The following is a 23,478-nucleotide window of genomic DNA, read 5'->3' on the forward strand; positions in this document are numbered from 1 at the left end:
TTCTTTACGTTATATATTACTCTAGTATGCTTCCTTGCTAAATTTGTTTTTTTTTTGTTTTGTTTTGTTTTTTTTTGAGACGGAGTTATGCTCTTGTTGACCAGGCTGGAGTGCAATGGTGTGATCTCGGCTCACTGCAACCTCCAACTCCAGGATTCAAGTGATTCTACTGCCTCAGCCTCCCGAGTAGCTGGGAATACAGGCATGTAGCACCATGCTGGCTAATTTTGTATTTTTAGTACAGACAGGGTTTCACCATGTTGGCCAGGCTGGTCTTGAACTCCTGACCTCAGGTGATCCACCTGCCTCAGCCTCCCAAAGTGTTGGGATTAGGGTGTGAGCCACTGTGCCCGGCCCCTAAACTTGTATTTTTAAAACTTTTATTAAACCTTGAAAAATGGAAATAGCAACAGTTTGAAGAATCACTGTTAATGTCGGCATGGTATATTATTTAGCAAATAAAATCTGAGTCCAACATTATGACACAATGTAAGAGAAGAGCTCTGAAAGGTCATCTCGTCCACTTTAATATTTATATCCGTAGTTTCACTTGGTTCCTCATTTTTATGTTTTTTTTTAAATTAAATACAGGTTATCAAAGTATAAATGAAAGGTAATTGTTTATTACTGGAGAAGAGAAAAATGTATACAAGAAAGTCTAGATTCTTTCTCCACATGCACTACTTTTGGAATAAAGTTCCAAATATCAACTTTGAAGATACTTACAAGGATAAATTTTTCTTAACAAGTGACCAATTACTGTGTTGTGGACATTTTTTCATAGAATCCATATACTGTAAACTAAATATATTCTTATAGTTTACAGGAAGCTTGGAGCAATTATGTATTAACAGAGAAGATGGTATTATATTTTACTGCAAAATATTATAAAAGTGATACAATTTTGTGGCTCTTAAATGTTTAATTACTTGATTTCAACAGGACAATGAAAAAAAACCAAAAATCATCAAGACAGGCCTGGCTTTAAGGTTTTTTGTATTCGATTCGTTCTACTTTCACATCATCTCCAATTAGCTGATACACATAGGTGACCACTGTAGAAGCCTGGATATCCATCAACACAAATGATGGAATAATGTTTCTAGAAGAAAAAATAAATAATGTCAGTGTTTTGTAGCACAAAGCAGCAGCACTATAAATTTCAATTTAAGATGACTATTTGGATTCAGAGAAATCTGTTACATATCACATGAACAGTTACCAAAAGATTGCCAAAATGGCTAGATTTATTTAAATGGTCACATGTGGCTGGGCACAGTGGCTTACGCCTGTAATCCCAGCACTTTGGGAGGCTGAGGTGGGTGGATCACCTGAGGTCAGGAGTTCAATACCAGCCTGGCTAACATGGTGAAACCCCATCTCTACTAAAAATACAAGAATTAGCCAGGCGTGGTGGCGGGTACCTATAATCCCGGCTACTTGGGAGACTGAGGCACAAGAATCACTTGAACCCGGGAGACAGAGGTTGCAGTGAGCCAAGATTGCAACACTACACTCCAGCCTAGGTGACAGAGCAAGACTCTGTCTCAAAAAAAAAAAAAGTCACATTTATTTTTATTTTATTTATTTATTTATTTATTTATTTATTTATTTATTTATTTATTGAGTCTCCTTCTGTCACCCTGGCTGGAGTACAGAGCCTCAAACGTGGCTCACTGCAGTCTCAACCTCCTAGGCTCAAGTGATCATCCCACCTCAGCCTCCTGTGTAGCTGGGATCACAGGCATGCACCACCACACCCAGCTAATTTTTAAAATTTTTTTGTAGAGACAGGGTCTCACCATATTGTCTAGGCTGGTCTCAAACTCCTGGGCTCAAGCAACCTGCCCTGGTCTCCCGAAGTGCTGGTATTACAGGCATGAGCCACTGTGCCCAGCCACATTTCTTTTACGAAATGTCACACATGCAATTATTTTACTAAAGCCCCCAAATTCCCAAATTCTATACTACTCACGTTTCCAAGGCATTATATGCCCCAGTGGCAGAACCTGGATTAATGTAGAATTTATTTTCATGCTCAAATGCTTCAAATTTGTGTGTGTGTCCCGAGATAAGAATGTCCACATCAAATTGCCTCTGCAACAGGGCTAAGCTGGCCATATCTCCCCATGGAATAACTTGATGTCCATGGATCAGACCAATTTTGAACTGTCCAACAGTCACAACTTTCTGTTCTGGATAATTCAGATTCTAACATAAGAAAAAGACGTAAGAAAATATGTATTTTAGAGATACTGATGTTTAAAAAAATCAGTTTCCTTAAATATTCAATCTCCTATGGATGTTTTGATGTAGTACCCCACAACACACACATTTATACATTTTTTTTTTTTTTTGAGACAGAGTGTTGCTATGTTGCCCAGGCTGGAGTGCAGTGGTACCATCTTGGCTCACTGTAACCTCCGCCTGCCAGGTTCAAGCAATTCTCCTGTCTCAGCCTCCCAAGTAGCTGGGATTACAGGCACCCGCCACCACGCCCGCCTAATTTTTTTGTATTTTTAGTAGAGACGGAGTCTCACCATGTTGGCCAGGCTGGTTTCAAACTCCTAACCTCAAATGATCCACCTGCCTTGGCCTCCCAAAGCGCTAGGATTACAGGCCTGAGCCACTGTGCCCACCCCACATTTATAAATATTTTATTTCTTCTTGGTCTCCAAGGCTGCATCTATATTTTAAAACATAACTTACTCAATATAAACTGGAATTTATCATGCAACCCCTTTATTGTGTTTATTCCTATAGAATATGGGTTCTTTTGCGCATGCTGTAAATAATTATTCCCCCCAAACTTGTGATTTTCCTTTACCTAAGGCATGTAAGTTAGGGTGTGTTCAAATTATAGCTTAATGTAGCCTTAATACTTTTATAGATAGCTTAAAATAATGAGAGCTAACACTTACATAGTACTTAGTATGAGCCAGGCACTACTGTAGGGGTTTTACAAATATCAACTTAATTAATACAAACAATCCTAGAAGGTTCTATTATGATCCCCACTTTATGGATGATGAAACAGGCAAAGAGGTTGTTTGTCCTTTCATCTCCCCGTCTTTCACCTCCATGCCACCTTTAAATTTATCCAAACTCTTTTTAAAATACAATAAAAAGACAGTATGCCCCTTCAGTTTGGTTTAAGGAACCCCATTAAATAACACAAACCAAGATTAATTGATGAAAATCTTATATTCCCAGAAATACTATATGTATAAATTTTTTTTTTTTTTTTTTTGAGACAGAGTCTCACTCTGTCGCCCAGGATGGAGTGCAGTGGCGCGATCTCGGCTCACTGCAAACTCTGCCTCCCAGGTTCACGCCATTCTCCTGCCTCAGCTTCCCGAGTAGCTGGGACTACAGGCGCCCACCACCATGCCCAGCTAATTTTTTTTGTATTTTTAGTGGAGACAGGGGTTCACCGTGTTAGCCAGGATGGTCTCGATCTCCTGACCTCGTGATCCACCTGCCTCGGCCTCCCAAAGTGCTGGGATTACAGGCGTGAGCCACCGCACCCGGCCTAAAATAAAATTTTCAAACTAGAATCAGGTTTATTATGCTACACCATACAATGTTGGCACTGGCAGGGGTTTTAAAAATCATCCATTCCAGTCATATTTACTAAGGATCAGAAAGGGGAAGTGATCTGCCAAAAATCCCATTATTAACTAATGGGAACTCCAGAACTCCTTACTTTTTCTTTTTGAGATAGAGTTTCACTCTGTCGCCCAGGCTGGAGTGCAGTGGCACAATCTCAGCTCACTGCTAGCTCCGCCTCCCAGGTTCACACCATTCTCCTGCCTCAGCCTCCCAAGTAGCTGGGACGACAGGCGCCCAGCACCACACCTGGCTAATTTTTTTGTATTTTTAGTAGAGATGGGGTTTCACCGTATCAGCCAGGATGGTCTTGATCTCTTGACCTCATGATCCACCCACCTAGGCCTCCCAAAGTGCTGGGATTACAGGCGTGAGCCACCGTACCCGGCCCAGAACTCTTTACTTTTTTTCTTTAAAGTCAGGTTTATTGAGGCGTAATTTACACAAAGTAAAATCTTACTTTTTCATGTATAATATGATGGGTTTTGACAAATGCACACGGCTGTGTAAGCACTGCCACACTAAAGATACAGAGCAGCTCTATCACTCCTTCAAAACTCCCTCATGCCCTATAAAGTCAGCCTTTGAGAAAGGAAGCCACAGGAGGGTTGCCAGCAGAGAAGTGATGTGATCTTACTTTACTTAAAAAGGATCACGCTGGTTGCTAGTTGGAGAATAAACTGGAAGGAGCAAGGGTAGAATTAGGAAGTTGGAATACAAGAAAATGATACAGTGGCTTGGAATAAAGTTAGTAGAGGTAGCGGCGGTGAAAAGTTCATAATAAAAACTTTATAAACTTGGCTGAGTGTGGTGGCTCATGCCTGTAATCCCAGCACTTTAGGAGGCTGAGGCGGGAGGATCACCTGAGGTCACGAGTTCGAGACCAGCCTTGCCAACACGGCAAAACGCCATCTCTACTAAAAAAAAAAATAGCTGGATGTGATGGTGTGTGCCTGTAGTCTCAGCTACTTGGGAGGTTAGGCAGGAGAATCGGTTGAACCTGAGAGGCAGAGGTTTCAGGGAGCCAAGATCGTGCCACTGCATTCCAGCCTGGGCGACAGAGCAAGACTCCATCTCAAAAAAAACAAAAACAAACAAAAAAAACTTTATAAATTAAACGACAGCATAAAACAGTAACAAAGCCACTTTTATTCAGTATCTATTTAGTTAGAATAAGTATTTAATGTTTACTAGGTGATCTAAATCAGTGATTTTCAAATAGTAAGGGAGGGGCATGATGTATAGTAATTTTACATTTGGAAAAGAAAAAGGGAAAAAAAAAAAAACCTTACCAGTTGAGAAACCCTGGTCTAAAGATAAAGCTTATGTAAGTAATAATCAAGAAAGGGAGATATTTGAGAAGGGAAAGGGAAATACATCACCTCATCGAAGTCTCCTCTCACAATATGAACATCACCAGCCAGAGTCTTGAGATAGTCATAACTCTCTTTGGTGCAAAGGTTTCCTGTGCAGAGAATGTGCTGAATTTTTCCTGGCACCAGGAGTTTTTTGAATTTAGCTGGCAAACTGTTGCACCGGTGTGGGATGTGCAGATCTCCTAATACCAACACCAACTTTAAAGTGTCAAGGTGAGATAAAGCATAATGTTAAACACAATATCAAAACAAAATAGTCTCCTCTTGTAAGCCCCCTTTTAAGTCTCATAAGAGATCCCGAATCCCAGAAATTATTCATAGGGTTCCTATCATGACTATTTATTTAATCTCAGAAGCTGAATCTGTACGTATTTTTCTTCAGGTCATCAGCTTTGGGATAGGTTTCATCATTGATTGTATCATGACAATTTAAACAGACATACTTATGGTAATGTACTTTGTTCTAAATCAATCTTATTTTGGTTGTAAACAGTTGCATATATAAAATACAGGTAATCATTCTATTTACCAAGAGTGAAATCAAGCATTCTAAAGTGATTCATTTAGAGACCTGTAAATACACTGAATTTTAAAAATTACAAAATGTAAAGTATACTACTGGGCCCTATAGAATTTGGCATTTTTAAAGACTGATATGGTAATTCATATTTCTGCAGTTGTAACATGAAATGATATATTAATCCCAGAAATATTTAAGGAAATTGTTAATAGACAAAAAAGTTAATTATGTAATTTATCTGTACTAGACTGACAACTATGTGCAAGCATAATAGCCAAAATTTGATATTTTTGTTACTTCAAACTATTAGGTGTACGTTACAGAGATATACAACAGCCTTCAGTTTCATCAGGTAAATGTGTGCTTTTGAATTATAATCTTTGATATCTTCACTTTCCTTCATTATTAGAAGTCCTCACTGTCATATTTTTATGGTCTGGATTAAATTGCTCATATATCCTCGGTATAGTTCCCCAACTTAAAAAAAAGAAAACATTTTCACAATCTTTCATGTATATTAGAGCATTAAAACAAAAAAGAGATCAGCTAAATAAGTGATAAATTTAGCATAAGGTGGTTTAGAGCTGCAACATAGTCTCAGATGACAAAAGTAAATTTTGCTTTTAAATATAAAAGAATATAAACCCCAATCCTGTAAAATTTTAATTTAAAAATTTCTTTCTTTTTTTTTTTTTTTTTTTTTTTTTTTGAGACGGAGTCTCACTCTGTCGCCCAGGCTGGAGTGCAGTGGTGCGATCTCGGCTCACTGCAACCTCCGCCTCCTGGGTTCAAATGATTCTCCTGCCTCAGCTTCCCGAGTAGCTGGGACTACAGGCGTGTGCCACCATGCCCAGCTAATTTTTGTATTTTTAGTAAAGATAGGGTTTCACCATGTTGGCCAGGCTGGTCTGGAACTCCTGACCTCAGGTGATCCACCTGCCTCCGCCTCCCAAAGTGCTAGGATTACAGGCATGAGTCACCACGCCTGGCCTAATTTAAAAATTTCAAGATTTGAGAAACAACATTAATTTAGCCATTTAACAGAATACTGTTAGAAAGATCATTTAAAAATAGTATCTGTCTGGCTGAGTGCGGTGGCTCACACCTGTAATCCCAGCACTTTGGGAGGCCGAGGTGGGCAGAATACTTGAGGTCAGGAGTTCGAGACCAGCCTGGCCAACATGGTAAAACACTGTCTTTACTAAAAAGAAAAATACAAAAGTTAGCTGGGCACGGTGGCAGGCGCCTGTAATCCCAGCCAACTTGGGAGGTTGAGGCAGGAGAATTGCTTGAACTCAGGAGGCGGAGGTTGCAGTGAGCTGAGATGGCACTGGCACTGGCACTGGATGCCACTGGCACTCCAGCCTGGGCAGCAGAGTGAGACTCTGTCTCAAAACAAACAAACAAAAAAATAGTATCTATCCTCCAAAGGACAACAGAATCGATTTTTTTTTTTTTTTTTTGAGATGGAATTTTGCTCTCGTCGCCCAGGCTGGAGTGCAATGGTGCAATCTTGGCTCACTGCAACCTCTGCCTCCCAGGTTCATGCAGTTCTCCTGCCTCAGCCTCCCGAGTAGCTGGGATTACAAGCGCTCTCCACTACACCCAGCTAATTTTTGTATTTTTAGTAGAGACAGGGTTTCACCGTGTTGGCCAGGCTGGTCTCCAACATCTGACCTCAGGTGACCCACCTGCCCTGGCCTCCCAAACTGCTAGGATTATAGGCGTGAGCCACTGCGCCCAGCCCAACAGAATCAGTTTCTTCATGTTGATCAGTATAAGCACCTTCATTCTATACAAAATGTTTTCCTTTACAGATATTGCATGCATAAATGTACATGCCCTTTAACTGCTTTTAAAGGCATGACTATTCTTTAATATTATCAAAGAAACCATTAAATAGCTAATAGGATAAAACAAAATAGTTTTGCCACTGCAGACTTTGTAAATGAAAATTAATCAAACAAACAAAATGTATGAAATTAAAATGATTACCAAAAGAAGCTTGATTTATCTTGCAACAAAAATTAAAATTATTGCAAAGAAAAGGAACCGTTACCAGGACACAGAGTTATCGGGACATAGTTTGTAATCTCAAAGTAACACAAGGTTATGAAATTAGCACACTTTAAAATTGTTAAGTAAGATTCTTCTTTATAAAGACTAGTTTCAGCAGGTATTTGTTGTATGACCTATATTAATTGTTTCAATGCAGATCTCAGTGGACAAAACATCTGTAAAACTAAAAACCACTATGAAGTTTCCACCCTCACTGGTAATCAACATAAAAGTACCTGGATATAGAACAATCTTCATTTTAGAGGGGGATTCCTTCTGATATGGATTGAAGTACATAGTTAGTATGGGAATCTTGCTTTGAGAAAAAGGTAAAAATAATAGATTTCTATATTTAAAAGAAGAAGAAGAACAACAACAACAACCACCACCCCAAACTCATAAAAGGGTATATGTCTACAACAGGTTGAAATGTTTGGTACTAATAATGAATGAGCTGTTCAATCTGAATGTACCAGAAAGAACATTAGTAAGACATGGTACTTTATAATGATTGATGACCTAATTCTATAAAGTACTGTGGATTATCTCCAAGACTCAAGACTATTAGCAGTCTAAAGATATAACTGTATGAATGACCACACAATCATTTCAAATTAGTAGGGATCCTTACTAGGACAGAATCCTCTGGTTTCCTGCTGATGACAAAGTTATGGGGAAATAGTGTTACATAACACGTGTCATACTTTGAAACATGTTCCCGCCCAAATTCCACACTTTGACAAATCGGGATAGACATAGATGATAGAGTCCTTTAAGAAAGCAAAAGATCCTGGAAATGGCAGTCTTATTAAATTAAAATAAAGAGCCAACCCAATCAAAGCATGGGAATTCGGTTACTTCCTTTCAACAGACCTTAAAAGGGTAAGAAATCCAGTCAGTAAACAGCCACCCAACCACCACTGTTAGTAGGAGCTAAGTGAAGAAACTTACTCTGTGCCCAGCCTTAGTGGAATGAAGAAGTTGATTGCAGACAGGGGGGATGAAAAAAAAAGGGTGAAACATGACCAATGTTAAAAGAAAGCAACAAAAAGAAACCAAAAAAAAAAAAGAGAACAAAAAACCCATACCAAATGAGCAAACAATTGTTAATGATTTCTGAGTGTTATGAAAGAAAATGTTAAAAATCAGCTGTGCTCAAAACAATACCAAAATAAATATTTGCTTTATTTTTGAACATGACACACACACTTTTTAATAAATTTGTCTTGTCAGTTTCTCCTACTTTTCCTAATCTTGTTCTGTACATCGACTTCCATCTCTGTTTTCCATTCTGTTTAGATTTTTATAAGATTTTATAAAATAATGAATTTGGATTTCTACAAGACACTGTGGAAAATTTATCATCAGTAATAGCTGAAAGGCTAACATTTTCTGGATTCTTAGGGTTTAATTATTCAAGTATATGGATGTTAATTATCTTACATTCAAAATTCTAGTAGCTGGAAAATTATGCTGCGGCTAGGTGATTTTTTGTAGCTGATGCAACACAGCACCATGAATACATTATCAAGTGTTGAACAAATCAACTAAAGGTGAAGACAAAATAATAAAAACAAACACATTTATTCAGGTAAAACTGGACCTTTCCCACACTTGAATTTGCTGCCCACAGACTCTGGACACTGTACTGAGTGTTGAACGTCTGTATCCTTTGCCAAATAAAATGCTTTTAATCATGAAAGAACTGGCTAATGCTAAATTTTTCCCAGTTCTATTTCATATGAAAAATGATGTTCCAGTACAACTACCCTAAATAAGAGGGATCACTTCTCAAACAACTTGAGAAACATTAATATTTTGAAACCATGGCAAGTAATTATGTCTTCTCCCATGGATAGGTGTCTCGAAATTACTGTAAACGGATTACTTTAAATTGGAGTCTGTTTAGAAGCAAAAATTAAAAGTGAGATTAAAGATTTTAAAGAAGCATGCACCATAAATCTCTGGCTGCCATGTCTGTAAGTCCCCCTCTTGAAAAGGCTGTTTGTCATGCAATAGTAATAATCTTAAAAATGCATAGCTTCTTTGGTTTCCTTGTAAAAATAAAAAAGAATGCAATAAATGCCTGTCAGAGGTAGACGTCCCTTTACAGCCAACCTCCATCAACACAAATATGAAGATAATCACAGCTCCATTTCAAACAATTGATTTTTTTTTTTTTTTTGAGCAGCAGCAAGATTTATTGTGAAGAGCGAAAGAACAAAGCTTACACAGGGTGGAAGGGGACCCGAGTGGGTTGCCCCAAACAATTGACTTTTTAAGAGTCAAAGGCACCTTTGAAAATATGATTACAGGCCGGGCGCGGTGGCTCACGCCTGTAACCCCAGCACTTTGGGAGGCCGAGGCGGGTGGATCATCTGAGGTCGGGAGGTAGAGACCAGCCTGACCAACATGGTGAAACCCCGTCTCTACTAAAAATACAAAAATTTAGACGGGCTTGGTGGCGGGCGCCTGTAATCCCAGCTACTCGGGAGGCTGAGGCAGGAGCTGAGGCTTGAACCCGGGCGGCATTGCAGTGAGCCGAGATCGCGGCATTGCACTCCAGCCTGGGCGACAGAGCGAGACTCCATCTCAAAAAGAAAGAAAGAAAATATGATTACAGCTCTGAGTCCTCTCTAGTAGAGGCCCCCAGTTTTTATGTAGGAAGGTCTGAGGGGCACCAAACTACTGGGGGTGAAGGGGTGATTGCTTGAAGGTGGCTGGGGGAGACTAGGTAAGTCTCCAACACCGGCACTCTCCCCAGAAAAATGTGTATATTCACAAAAATTTCCCAACAGTTTCAATGAGTTCACACATCATTAAGGAATCCTACCCTAAAGAGGCGTAGCAACCCGTGGAAAGAAACAGTTCCAGCAATTGCAAGCGCCAAATCCCGCCCTCTGAGAGCACACCTGCTCATCTCAATGGCAGCTAGATGTTATTTCAGGAGCGAGGAGGGTGGTTTATTCCCTTTCCCTAGATGGCAAAGTTAAACGGGTACGAAATTCTGCTCGCTACTTCCTGTTCTGCATTCGAGAGGCCAGCTTCCACCACTACACCCCAACCAGCGGGAGGTGCTTTTTGCGGGAAACGAGTAGGAACCGTCTGGAAACGGAGGACCGTGCCCCTATCCCCGGAACATTCGAGGTATAGGACCAAAGGCCTTCCCTGGCTCGGGCGTGCGTGTCTCGTGACAGGTCGGGCTGCTAGAGGGGCCTTTTTACCCCTTGGATGGCCTCTGGCCCCTTGGGGCCGGGATACGAGACCTAGGCCAGCCGCACCCAGAGGTGGCCGCTCCCTTCCTTCCCTAGACCTCTTCTGGGCCTTTCCCAGGCCAGCGCCTGGGCCCTGACGCCGAGGCCTCCGGGATTTCCCAATTCCTCGCCCTCGGCCTCCCCACGGCTCCCAACAACGCAGCACCCCACCCGAGAGCCAGGCCTTGGTCGCCGCAACTGCAGCCCTCACCATCCTGTCACCGGGCTCCGCTCAGTCACCACCACCGTCGCCGCCCTCTTCCTCAGGCTCCTCGGCGACCCGCCCACTTAACCGCAACCAATGAGAGCAGAGGGAGACAGAAATTGCCGTACGGAGGCCCGCACGGACCCTTCTCCGCCGTAAAGCCGTTTGGGAACTTGTGGAGGCGGGGTGGTAGAGTGCAGAGACGAGATCGCGAAGCTTTGAAAAGCGCGGGCAACATCCGGGCACCTGGGCCGTCGAGCTGAGGCGCGCCTTCCGAGCCTGCTTTTTAGGGCGGATGGCAGCCATGCTGAAGTGCGTGATGAGCGGCAGTCAGGTGAAAGGTGGAGCGGCCTTTGTTGTCTTCCCATTTAGCAGAGAGAAAAGCAGACGTTAATAGGTCGTCCCTACCATTGTCTAATTTTTCCTCTTTGCCTTTTTGCGCAATGACTGAGGACGCACGCCCTGGCCACAGCCCCACCCACTCAAGTCCCTGTTAACTTCTGAGGGGAGGATGAGGACCCATCTCGTGTGACTTAGAGGCAGATGTAATATGGGTGGTATCCGGGAAATAGAGTTGTACCATCGGGCCACAAACTCGGGATGCTGAGGACTGCATGGGGAAGAGTTGAGAGAAAAAAATAATGCTTGGACAGTAAAAGTATTTTTGTGCCAAGAGAACAGCATTAACCTGGTTTTTTTTTTCCCCAGATTCTACCATTTTTAAAAATGTATGAACTTGGAAAAGTCACTAAATCTCTTTGGGGCTCAGTTTCTAAAACGGAAACAGGGGTAATGACAGCACCTTCGTCACAGAGTTTGTTTGGAGGCAATGAAATGGAAATGCGTGTAAAGAGCCCAGTAATAGATGGAATGTACAAGAACTATTAGTGTTGTAAACGGCGCTTTCAAAATGGAAGTTAGGCCGGGTGCAGTGGCTCACGCCTGTAATCCTAGCACTTTGGGAGGCCAAGGCGGGTGGATCACCTTAGGTCGGGAGTTCGAGACCACCCTGACCAACATGATGAAACCCCGTCTCTACTAAACATACAAAAATTAGCCGGGCTTAGTGGTGGGCGCCTGTAATCCCAAGCTACTTGGAAGGCTGAGGCGAGAGGATCGATTGAGCCCGGGAGGTTGAGGCTGCAGTGAGTTGAGCTCGTGCCACTGCACTCCAGCCTGAGTGTCAGAGTGAGACTCTGTCTCAAAAAAAATAAAAAATAAAAAGAACATTAACAATGTCGTACGGGATCAGACTAGTGTGTTTTCCAGCCCTAAATGTGTTCTGTGGTGGGGAAATCTGGCTGCCCTCAAACATCAGAGATGTATGTTGGATACCCCTAATTTCTCTCTCATGACTTGTTGTGACTTGGCTATCAAGCTATTAAAACCACTTCAGATTATCTTCTCCATGCACTGTTTTCACAGTTTTTGGGGGGTCAAATACATTTATCTAAATCAAGTTGTAAAATACATTAGTATGGAAATTGGTTTGCACAGTAGCTCCATGCAACACTGTAAACATATAGAAGGACAAATTTCGGTCAATTTTATCATTTCACACACTACAAATTTATTGAGCCCTGACTATGTGTCTGGCATTTTGCCAAGGGTATTATACTGTATTAAAGTAATGTAGCATTAGTCTGTAAGATACTGTTATTTTTGAATTTCTCTTGAGTCCTCTGAATGCTGAACTAGTCTTGTGATTTGTTTTTATTGTTAGAGGGAAAGAATATAAGCATCACCTTTCTTTTTCTCCATAGTATTTGGGAAAGCAGTTCAAGCTCTATCACGAATTAGTGACGAGTTCTGGCTAGACCCATCTAAAAAAGGTGTAAGTAAGAAAGTTAACAGATCACGTATCAAGGCAAGAGGAGATGTTTAAAGATCCCAGTCCAGATTGAATGTTAACTAGGAAATCCAGAAATTGTAATTATCCCTTTCACTGTTTATCTTTATTTTACATATCTGAATACACTTAGAGCATGGTAAAGTTGAAAATATGCAGATAAGCTTGATTGATTTAAACTGGAAGTCACAAACTGGTAGTTAAGAGACTAGCTACGGTCTGCAGGAATGTTTGTTGGCCTGCACTGTTTTTTTTTTTTTTTAATTTGAAATAATTTCCAACATTTAAAAATTGAGGCCGGGCGCGATGGCTCACGCCTGTAATCCCAGCACTTTGGGAGGCCGAGGTGGGTGGATCACCTGAGGTCAGGAGTTCGAGACTAGCCTGGTCCACATGGTGAAACTCCTTCTCTACTAAAAATATAAAAATTAGCCTGGCATGGTGGTGGGCACCTGTAATCCCAGCTACTCGGGAGGCTGAGGTGGGAGAATTGCTTGAATCCAGCAGATGGAGGTTGCAGTGAGTGAGCCGACATGGTGCCACTGCACTCCAGCCTGGGCAACAGAGTGAGAGTGAGACTCCGTCCCAAAAAAAAAAAAAAAAAAAATTGAGTCAAATTTTTCCTGCTTCTCTTGAAAATTCAGAAGACCTGACAGTTTTGGGACTGCATTCATTCCCAAGTGGAAGTAGTTGGCTGAAACTGAGTAATGGTTTCCCCGCTTAGACAAGGTGTGAGACCGCCAATATGCTGTAACTCCCTTATATATTGCAACTCCCTTATATATTGCCTTTTGCCATTTCACACATTAAGGTTAAGGCTCATGACTGGGTGTGGTAGTTCACAAATGTAATCCCAGCACTTTGGGAGGCTGAGACAGGAGGATCACTTGAGCCCAGGAGTTCGAGACCAGCCTGAGCAACAAAGCAAGACACTACCTGTCTCTACAAAAAAATTTTAAAAATTAGTCGGGTGATATGTTGTGTGCCTGTAGTCCCAGCTACTTGGAAGGCTGAGAGGAGGGAGGATTGGTTGAGGCCAGGGGTTTGGAGGCTGCAGTGAGCTGCGGTGGTACCATTGCACTCCAGCCTGGCCAACAGGCTGGTTTTTTGAAAAAAAGTAAAAAAGAAATTAAAAGAAAGTTAAGGCCCCTGTAGGCATTTACTATTTTATGTTTTCAACATGTAAACTTTTAGATTTAACACATATATGTATTCAATATAATATACATATATGTATACACCTATATATACGTACATGCTTGTATATATACATGTATGTACACCTATATGTATGTATATATATAGGTGTATAATAAATTAACAGACTTGTCCTGAATGCCATTTAAACTATCAAGTATAGAATACAGGTTATGTCCTGTATATATTATAGGTGTACATATATGTATATATATGCAAATTCAATACAGACTATATAGGGCAGTCCATAATTAACATCCCATGTTCTTATTTGAACACATTTAACTGTGATGTTAAACATAATGACGTTTTCTGAATCAAGCTATTATGTAAAGAAAGTTTATTTTCTCCTAAATTTTTTTAAAATAAAAAAATAGAGGTGGGGTCTTGCTCTGTTGGCCAGGCTGGTCTCAGACTCCTGGCTTCCATCCATCCTCCTGCCTTGGCTTCCCAAAGTGCTTGGATTACAGGTTCATGGGAGCCACCATGCGCAACCTCTCCTAAATAGTTTTTATCTTATTTTTCTAGCTTGCTCTAAGATGTGTGAATTCTTCTCGGTCAGCATATGGATGTGTCCTGTTCTCTCCTGTGTTTTTTCAGCATTATCAATGGTCAGCTTTAGTGAAAATGAGTGAAAATGAACTTGACACAACACTGCATTTAAAATGCAAATTGGGAATGAAGGTAAATATAAGTGGCCCTGGTTTTCTCTTATTCTGTAGAAATATTCATTATATAGGACATAACCTGTATTCTATACTTAATAGTTTAAATGGCATTCAGGACAAATCTGTTCATTATTATTATTATTTTTGAGACAGAGTCTCGCTTTCTTACCCAGGCTGGAGTGCAGTGGTGCAATCTTGGCTCACTGCAACCTCTGCCTCCCAGTTTCAAGTGATTTTTGTGCCTCAGCCTCCCAAGTAGCTGGGATTATAGGCGTGTGCCACCATGCCTGGCTAATTTTTGTGTTTTTAATAGAGATGAGGGTTTCGCCATGTTGGCCAGGCTGGTCTTGAACTCCTGACCTCAAGTGATCTGCCCACCTCGGCCTCCCAAAGTGCTGGGATTACAGGCGTGAGCCAGTGCACCTGGCCAAGTCTGTTCATTTTTTTTTTGAGACGGAGTCTCGCTTTGTCGCCCAGGCTGGAGTGCGGTGGCACAATCTCGGCTCACTGCAAGCTCTGCCTCCCGGGTTCACGCCATTCTCCTGCCTCAGCCTCCCGAGTAGCTGGGACTACAGGCGCCCGCCACTACGCCTGGCTAATTTTTTCTATTTTTAGTAGAGACGGGGTTTCACTGTGTTAGCCAGGATGGTCTCGATCTCCTGACCTCGTGATCCGCCCGCCTCGGCCTCCCAAAGTGCTGGGATTACAGGCGTGAGCCACCGCGCCTGGCCAAGTCTGTTCATTTATGAATGCATATACTTTTGTTTCTAAAATGAATCAACCATGTTAAGTATGTGCTTAATATGTATATTTCTGTTACAGTCAATTTTGCCCATCTTTAGATGTCTGAATTCCCTTGAAAGAAATATAGAGAAGTGCAGAATATTCACCAGATCTGATAAATGCAAAGTAGTTATTCAATTCTTCTACAGACATGGTAGGTATAATTAAAAGTGGTTTAAAATACTATGTTTTTTTCTCAATAGTTTTCATGTTTAGAACATTGATATTTCATGTCAAGATTTCTCGTTACATTATTGCTTAGAGTGTGTGTAGTTAAGTGGTAGGGCAGTTTGAAGTATTATCCTTTTTTTTTTTTTTGAGATGGAGTCTTGCTCTGTCGCCAAGGCTGGAGTGCAATGCCGCCATCTCAGCTCACTGCGACCTCCACCTCGTGGGTTCAAGCAGTTCTCCCGCCTCAGCCTCCCAAGTAGCTGGGATTACAGGCACCTGCCATCATGCCCAGCTAATTTTTGTATTTTTAGTAGAGACGGGGTTTCACCGTGTTGGCCAGGCTGATCTCGAACTCCTGACCTCAGGTGATCTGCCCACCTGCCTCGGCCTCCCAAAGTGCTGGGATGAGCCACTGCACCTGGCCTGAGCCAGGCATGAGCCACTGCACCTGGCCTGAAGTATTATCTTACCTGTCACTGTAGAAGTATTGTAAGATGATCGGTATTATTTCTTTTTTTGACTTGTCAGTGGCACAAGCTTTGCCTGCATACAGCCTAATTTTTTTCAAATATCCGTATGAATTCAAGCAATTGGTTGTTCTAAAATTTACTAGCTGCTTGATTATATATATGTATATTATATATATAATATGTATTATATATAATATATGTATTATATATAATATATAATATATGTATTAAATATAATATATAATATATATGTATTAAATATAATATATAACACGTATTAAGTATAATATATATGTATTAAATATAATACATAATATATGTATTAAATATAATACATAATATATGTATTAAATATAATACATAATATATGTATTAAATATATATGTATTATATATGTATAATATATACATAATACATATTATGTATACATATATACATAATATTATATACATAATGTATAACATATATACATATATATATTCATTTTGAGATGGAGTTTCGCTCTTGTTGCCCAGGCTGGAGTGCAATGGCATGATCTTGGCTCACTGCAACCTCTACCTCCTGGGTTCAAGCAATTCTCCTGCCTCAGCCTGCTGAGTAGCTAGGATTACAGGCATGCTTCACCATGCCCGGCTAATTTTGTATTTTTAGTAGAGATGGGGTTTTACCATGTTGGTCAGGCAGGTCTGAAACTCCTGACCTCAGATGATCTGCCGGCCTTGACCTCCCAAAGTGCTGGGATTGCAGGTGTGAACTACCGCGCCTGGCTGTATTTCTTAATTTAATCTTACATTTATTATAATATATTTTTATTTCAGCATATATTTATAGTCTTTAAATTGTTTCCTATAAAATACTAATAATTTAACATTATTTTTTCCTTCTTTGAACTTCAGTTCATTTAATAGCAGAATGATTCAAAGAGCATGATTAAAAGCATAGCAAGCCTTGACATCACAAAGATGTGCGTGTAAATTCTTCTCCACTTATTAGTTTTGGGACAGTGCATAAGCTCTCTGAATCTTCATTCCTTACTGTGAAGTGGAGATGATCATGCCTACCCACAAGTTACGGGGTGATTGTGAGGATGAAGTGAGATCACATATGTAAAGTACATACCGCAGTACCTGCCCCAGGGGGAGTACTTGTTAGTGATTGCTGTTACTATAATTATCCTCTTTCCTTATCTCCAACTAGATTTTAGACAGAAAGTGAATACTTGGTATTCAGTATCTCTCAAGTAGCTTACTTGAGTCATGTCCAGTAAGTATTTGTGATTGGTTAATTATTTAATGGTTTTTATAGGGTAGTTATATGATACTATGCCTTAGGTTACAAGTAACAAATAAAAACAGACGGTCCAACTCAAACTAGCTTAAAAAATAAAGTATTGGCTCATGTAAACAAAAAATTCAAAATTAAGTCACAGGCATGGTTGTTTTTGTTTTTGTTCTTAATTTTTGTAGAGTCAGGGTCTCGTCATGTTGCCCAGGCTGGTCTCAAACTCCTGGGCTCAAGCAATTCTCCTGCCTTGGCCTCCCAGAGTGCTGGGATTACAGGCATGAGCCACCGCCATGGTTTGATCCAGGGTGCAGCTTCTTTTCTTTTCTTTTCTTTTTTTTGAAACAAAGTCTCACTCTGTCACCCAGGATGGAGCAGGATGGAGTGCAGTGGCGTGATCTTGGCTCACTGCAGCCTTGACTTCCCAGACTCAGGTGATCCTCCTACCTCAGCCTCCAGAGTAGCTGGGATCACAGGAGCGTGCCACCATACCTGGCTAATTTTTTTATTTTAATTTTTTTAAGACGGAGTCTGGTTCTGTCGCCCAGGCTGGAGTGCAGTGGTGCGATCTCAGCTCACTGCAAGCTCCGCCTCCTGGGTTCACGCCATTCTCCTGCCTCAGCCTCTCGAGTAGTTGGGACTACAGGCGCCTGCCACCATGCCCGGCTAACTTTTTTTTTGTATTTTTAGTAGAGACGGGGTTTCAACGTCTTAGCCAGGATGATCTCGATCTCCTGACCTCGTGATCTGCCCTCCTTGGCCTTCCAAAGTGCTGGAATTACAGGCATAAGCCACCATGCCCGGCCCTAATTTTTTATATTGTTTGTAGAGATGGGGTTTCACCATGTTGCCCAGGCTGGTCTTGAACTCTTGGGCTCAAGTGATCTGCTTGCCTCAGCCTCCCAAGTGCTGGGATTATAGGAATGAGCAACCACGCCCACCACACCTGGCTAATTTTTTTTTCACACCTGGCTAATTTTTAAAAAAATTTTAATAGATAACAAGGTCTCACTGTGTTTTGGAAGCTGGTCTCAAACTCCTGAGCCAGGCAGTCCTCTTGCCTCAGCCTCCTAATGTGCTGGAATTACAGGTGTGAGCCACCATGCCCAGCCTGGGATGGCAGTCTAAGATGAAGGAGAAGTGTGAAAAAATACCGGTTGAGGGTGTCTAGTGTGTGCTTATAAGAAAAAAGGAAGAAAACAAGTAGCAAGAATAGAGCATTGGGGATGACAAAGAAAAGACACTTCTCAGCTTGCACATCCTCAGCAATACCAATATTCACTTGATTCAAATATTTGTTATACAGGTATAAACACACTTATATATGTATAGGTTATTTCTAAAGAACACCTAAGAAACTGGTAGCAGTAGTTGCTTCTGTGTAGGTTCTAGGGTGGCAGGAGTCAGGGATGGAGGGTGACTCACTCTCACTGTTCTTTTATATCTTTTGCATTTTGTCCCATGTGCATCTATTACCTATTCCACCAAAAGTAACTTGAAAATATTTTTTAAATACGTAAAATATGTCATCTTTTGAGCTTTGTGTCTTCTCAAAACAGCAGTCACAGTGATCCCTTTAAAATAGGTCATATTATGTCACTTCGGTGCTCAAAACTCTCCCAGTAGCTCCCCATTTTACCCAGGGTAAAAGCCAAAGATCTCAGAATGGCCTATAAGGTCCTCCATGATTCAGAAGCCCTGGCATGTTTCCTCCTCAGGGTGTATGCCCTGCTCCCTTGCCTACTGTTTTATTCATTTATTTTCTTGCTATCTATCTCCCCTCTGTAAAATGTTAGCCCTGTGAAGACAGATTTTTGTCTGATTTGTTCTCTGCTAGTTCCAGCTCCTAAAATAGTCCCTTATGTGGTAGATCACAAAAAAAATTGTCACCAATTATCTGCAGCCCCTCCCTTCAATACCTGGAGATGTTTCCTCATTTTGAATTTCACCCGGCCTTAGATTTGCTTTGATACCGGTAGAATGCACCATAAGTGTTATTGTGTGAGTTCCGAGCTGAGTCCTGTCAGCTTCCACTGTTGCCCTAAGAACCTTTCCACCAGCATGAGAACAAGCATGGAATAGCTTTCTGGAGGATTAAAGAATAGGTGAGAGGCCTTAGCCATCTCAGTTGTCCCAGTTGAGGCCCCAGACATGAAAGTGAGGCCATCCTAGCTACCCCACAGGGATATTGTGAGGATCAGAGAGAATGTATGTAATATGTATGCTACAGTTCCTGGCACATAGGTTCATACTCATTATTGCTACCTCTCCTCTTCCTCTAAAAGGACAATAATTCAGCCTCGGCAACATGGAGAAACCTTGTCTCTACCAAAAATACAAAAATTAGCCAGGTGTGGTAGAGTGCGCCTCTAGTCCCAGCTACTGGGGAGGTTGAGATGGGAGGATCACTTGAGCCCAGGAGTTGGAGGTTGCAGTGAGTTGAGATCACACCACAACAGTCTAGCCTTGGCAACAGGTTGAGACCCTGTCAAAAAAAAAAGAAAGAGAGAAAGGAAGAAGGAGGGAAGGAAGAGAGAAGAGGAGAGAAAAGAAAAGAAAAGAATTAACAAACCAGATGTTGAAATCTGTCAAAAGTCCTGTTTAGAAATATCAGTCCTGGATGGAGGGTACTGAAAGAGAGTAATAGAGATATGATCTGTAGTCTGCAATCACTATTTTACACGCAATTTAAGAAACTACCTGTATTTTGGAGATTTCTTAAAAAACTAAAAATAGAAGTACCACATGATCCAGCAATCCCACTACTGAGTCTTTATCCAAAGGAAAAAAAAATATATCAAAGAAATACCTACATCCCTGTGTTTATTGCAGCACCATTTATAATAGCAAAGTTACGGAATCAAGCTAAGTGTCTATTAGTGGACTAATGGATAAAGAAAATGTAGTATATATACACAATGGAATACTATTTGGCCATAAAAATAATGAAATCTTGTCATTTGCAGCAACGTGGATGGAACTAGAGGTCACTATGTTAAGTGAAATAAGCCAGGCATGGAAAGTCAAGTATTGCATGTTCTCACAATGTGGACGCTAAAAAGTTGATCTCATGGAGGTAGAGAGTAGAATGGTAGATACCAGAGGCTGGTAATGGTGTGTGGGTGAGTATGAAGAGAGGTTGGTCAGTAGGTACAAACATACAGTTAGGTAGAAGGAATAAGTTCTAATGTGGGGTAGCAGAGTAGGGTGACTATAAGTTAGCAGCGGTGTATTCTGTGTTTCAACGTAGCTAAAAGAGAGGACTTAAAATGTTCTTAACACATAGAAATGATAAATACTTGAGGTGATGGACACCCCAAATATCCTGGCTTGATAATTACACAGTCTGTGCATGTAACAAAATATCTGTCACATGTACCCCATACATTTTTTCTTTTTTTTTTGAGACAGAGTCTCGCTCTGTTGTCAGGCTGGAGTGCAGTGGCACGATCTCGGCTCACTGCAACCTCCACCTCCTGGGTTCAAGTGATTCTCCTGCCTCAGCCTCCCAAGTAGCTGGGATTACAGGCGCATGCCACCACGCCCGGCTAGTTTTTTATATTTTAGTAGAGACGGAGTTTCACCATGTTGGCCAGGATTGTGTCTATCTCCTGACCTCATGATCCGCCCGCCTCAGCCTCCCAAAGTGCTGGGATTACATGCGTGAGCCACCGTGCCTGGCCTTTTTTTTTTTTTTCTTTTTGAGACAGAGTCTCACTCTGTCACCCAGGCTGGAGTGTACAGTGGCACAATCTTGGCTCATGGCAACCTCTGCTTCCCAGGTTCAAGTGATTCTTGTGCCTCAGCCTCCCAGGTAGCTGGGATTACAGGCATGCACCACCATGCCCGACTGATTTTTGTATTTTTAGTAGAGACAGGGTTATGCCATGTTGACCAGGCTGGTTTTGAACTCCTGGCCTCAAGCGATCCACCTGCCTTGGCCTCCCAAAGTGCTGGGATTACAGGCATGAACCACCGTGCCTGGCCACATGTACCCCATAAATATTTTAAAATACCATGTATCAATAAAAATATATTAACAAAAGAAGAACAAGAAGAAGAAGGAAACTGCTTGTATTTCAAAGGAGTCTGGGAACTCTCCTGCCTGATTGGTCAGAAGGTATGACATATTGCTTGGTGTCCACTAGGGAGCGATAAACACATTTAATTAAGGAATAGTGCTTCTCCAAGGTATATGCACTTGCCAGATAGTAAATGTTACTTTATTACTTTAATTTGGCTGTGAAACTTAAAGACTTCTTTAATTTGTTAGTTTTGTACTTAAAATTATTAAGAGGTGGCTTTATTCTTTTTAAGGTATTAAAAGAACTCATAATATATGTTTTCAAGAAAGTCAGCCTTTGCAAGTTATTTTTGACAAGAATGTTTGTACTAATACGCTAATGATTCAACCAAGGTAATGAGTTCTCTGTTGTCAGTTTTTTTCACCTGAATACAGTATGATCATGGAGTGAAGAATCAATGCCCTAGAGCTTTTCAGTCGGCACATTTTTTTTTTTTTTATATGGAGTCTCGCTGTGTCGCCCAGGCTGGAGTGCAGTGGCGCGATCTTGGCTCATTGCCAGCTCCGCCTCCTGGGTTGACACCAGTCTCCTGCCTCAGCCTCCCGAGTAGCTGGGACTACAGGCGCCCACCGCCACTCCTGGCTAATTTTTTTGTATTTTTAATAGAGACGGGGGGTTTTACCGTGTTAGCCAGGATGGTCTTGATCTCCTGACCTCGTGATCCACCTGCCTTGGCCCCCTAAAGTGCTGGTATTACAGGCGTGAGCCACCACGCCCTGCCATTACATTTTTTTTTTTTAAGCTGAAATTTGACTTGGAGAAATCACCATACAGGGACAAGAGGAAACTTTGTTAAAGATAATAGTGGATAATAACTAATGGTAGCTATAATAATTTAGTGACCCAAGAAAGTTCTAAAAACACCCCATCAGTGGCTTTCTATATCAAGTTGCATTTATATGGTTCTTGTCTGAATCTTAAAACACAGAGCTTGAGGAAATTTTAACATTTTTTATGTGAAATGATTTTGGCCCTAAGTATTAACAGTTTTTTCCTCTAGATAATGAGTAAGGCATATATGTCTTGAAATTTGAAACTTGAAACCTGTTATTTGAAAGTGCATCCAGTTTTCAGTTCAGCTGTAGCATTAAACATTAATGAACATTACTTTGTGAGCCAAATGATATTTTATCCATATTGTTTTTATATTATTATTATTATTATTATTATTATTATTATTATTATTATTATTTTTGAGACAGAGTCTCCCTCTGTTGCTCAGGCTGGAGTGCAGTGATGTGATCTTGGCTCACTGTAACCTCCACCTCCTGGGTTCAAACAATTCTTGTGCCTCAGCTTCCCGAGTAGCTGGGACTACTAGTGCAAGCCACCATGCCTGGCTAATTTTTGTATTTTTTTATAGAGACGGGGTTTCGCCATGTTGCTCAGGCTGATTGAGACAAACTTCTGAGTTCAAGTGATCCATCTGCCTTAGCCTCCCAAAGTACTGGGATTACAGGCGTGAGCTACCACATCTGGTCCCTTCCTTCCTTCCTTCCTTCCTTCCTTCCTTGCTTCCTTCCTTCCTCCCTTCCTTTTTGAATTGCCCATTCATGTTGTCATTTTTTTTGTATCAAATTATTTGGTATCTTGTATAACTGCCCCCGCTTAACACTGGAAAAGTTCCCAAATGAATTTTGTAGGTGTTCCTGACATTTTGATAGCAAGAAACACCGTTAAACCAATGTCTAACATCAGATTAACAACAAGATTACATAAATTCTAAGAATTTTATTTTATCTTAATAATATCTCAATGTCAAAAGGAGTGCAGAATTTATAATACAATAATAAAAAGACAGCCCAGCTGTAAAAAATAAGTAAAGGATTTTAATAGTCATTTCTTCAAAGAAAATATCAGTAAGCACCTGAAAAGATGCCCAACATCATTAGTCATTAGGGAAATGCAAATCAAACAATTTTCAATCTGTGAATTATGTCATATGGGAATTA

The 23,478-nt window shown here is 40.9% G+C and overlaps 2 protein-coding genes, 1 long non-coding RNA gene and 1 other non-coding gene across 27 annotated transcripts in view, besides 2 other annotated features; 2 read left to right on the forward strand and 2 right to left on the reverse strand.

The window, feature by feature from the left end:
- Window positions 1-62: 62 nt before the first annotated feature.
- Window positions 63-11,091, reverse strand: VPS29 (VPS29 retromer complex component). Of its 8 annotated transcripts, none has more exons than NR_104099.2 (6): window positions 11,029-11,091; window positions 8,515-8,526; window positions 7,800-7,839; window positions 4,992-5,183; window positions 1,976-2,211; window positions 63-1,102 (listed from the first exon to the last, which is right to left on the reverse strand). NR_104099.2 is itself a non-coding variant. In NM_001282150.2 (6 exons), the coding sequence occupies exons 2-6, from the start codon at window positions 10,481-10,483 to the stop codon at window positions 985-987; spliced, it is 645 nt and encodes a 214-aa protein (NP_001269079.1). In that variant the 5' UTR covers window positions 10,484-10,539; window positions 11,029-11,091; the 3' UTR covers window positions 63-984. The 8 variants fall into 8 exon arrangements, 4 of the variants coding, with proteins under 4 accessions (NP_001269079.1, NP_476528.1, NP_057310.1 ...); NM_001282150.2 differs by lacking the exon at window positions 7,800-7,839 and adding an exon at window positions 10,397-10,539; NR_104100.2 differs by lacking the exon at window positions 8,515-8,526.
- LOC124903015 (uncharacterized) lies at window positions 5,183-8,805 on the forward strand. The gene is made up of 2 exons (XR_007063458.1): window positions 5,183-5,857; window positions 7,721-8,805. It is a non-coding gene; the product is annotated as an uncharacterized LOC124903015 (long non-coding RNA).
- LOC124903099 (small nucleolar RNA SNORD50) lies at window positions 5,332-5,401 on the reverse strand. Its single transcript, XR_007063627.1, has one exon. It is a non-coding gene; the product is annotated as a small nucleolar RNA SNORD50 (small nucleolar RNA).
- Window positions 8,104-8,398: a silencer, noted in NCBI's record as "tiled region #4252; K562 Repressive DNase matched - State 5:Enh". NCBI's record gives its function as "represses a minimal TATA promoter and a strong SV40 promoter by Sharpr-MPRA in K562 cells {active_cell/tissue: K562}" and the evidence as "EXISTENCE:reporter gene assay evidence [ECO:0000049][PMID:27701403]".
- Window positions 10,920-11,059: an enhancer, noted in NCBI's record as "active region_7006". NCBI's record gives its function as "activates an Ori minimal core promoter by ATAC-STARR-seq in GM12878 lymphoblastoid cells {active_cell/tissue: GM12878}" and the evidence as "EXISTENCE:reporter gene assay evidence [ECO:0000049][PMID:35858748]".
- Window positions 11,311-23,478, forward strand: part of RAD9B (RAD9 checkpoint clamp component B) — a 31,226-nt gene continuing 19,058 nt past the window's right edge. For 3 of the 17 annotated variants that reach the window (NM_001286535.2, NM_152442.4, NM_001368052.1), the window contains exons 1-5: window positions 11,311-11,363; window positions 12,786-12,856; window positions 14,597-14,752; window positions 15,559-15,673; window positions 21,759-21,858. In NM_001286535.2, coding sequence (NP_001273464.1) covers window positions 11,318-11,363; window positions 12,786-12,856; window positions 14,597-14,752; window positions 15,559-15,673; window positions 21,759-21,858 — 488 coding nt within the window. In that variant the 5' untranslated portion in view covers window positions 11,311-11,317. Of the gene's footprint in view, window positions 11,420-11,445; window positions 11,812-12,785; window positions 12,857-14,596; window positions 14,753-15,558; window positions 15,674-20,407; window positions 20,564-21,758; window positions 21,859-23,478 lie in introns of those variants that run through there. The other 14 variants (XM_005253849.6, NM_001286536.2, NM_001368055.1 and 11 more) reach the window with 12 other exon arrangements.

The sequence above is a fragment of the Homo sapiens genome, chromosome 12 (genome assembly GCF_000001405.40).
Source record: "Homo sapiens chromosome 12, GRCh38.p14 Primary Assembly".
Taxonomy (NCBI): Eukaryota; Metazoa; Chordata; class Mammalia; order Primates; family Hominidae; genus Homo; species Homo sapiens.

Bases quoted from the DNA above. Each gene is read 5' to 3' on its own strand.
- VPS29 (NM_001282150.2), bottom strand. From the start codon at position 10,483: ATGAGCAGGTGTGCTCTCAGAGGGCGGGATTTGGCGCTTGCAATTGCT. The intron at 2,212-4,991 runs GTGATGTATTTC...TTCTTATGTTAG, and splicing joins TGAGAGGAGACTTCGATGAG to AATCTGAATTATCCAGAACA. The intron at 1,103-1,975 runs GTGAGTAGTATA...TTTTTCTTCTAG, and splicing joins GCATATAATGCCTTGGAAAC to AAACATTATTCCATCATTTG.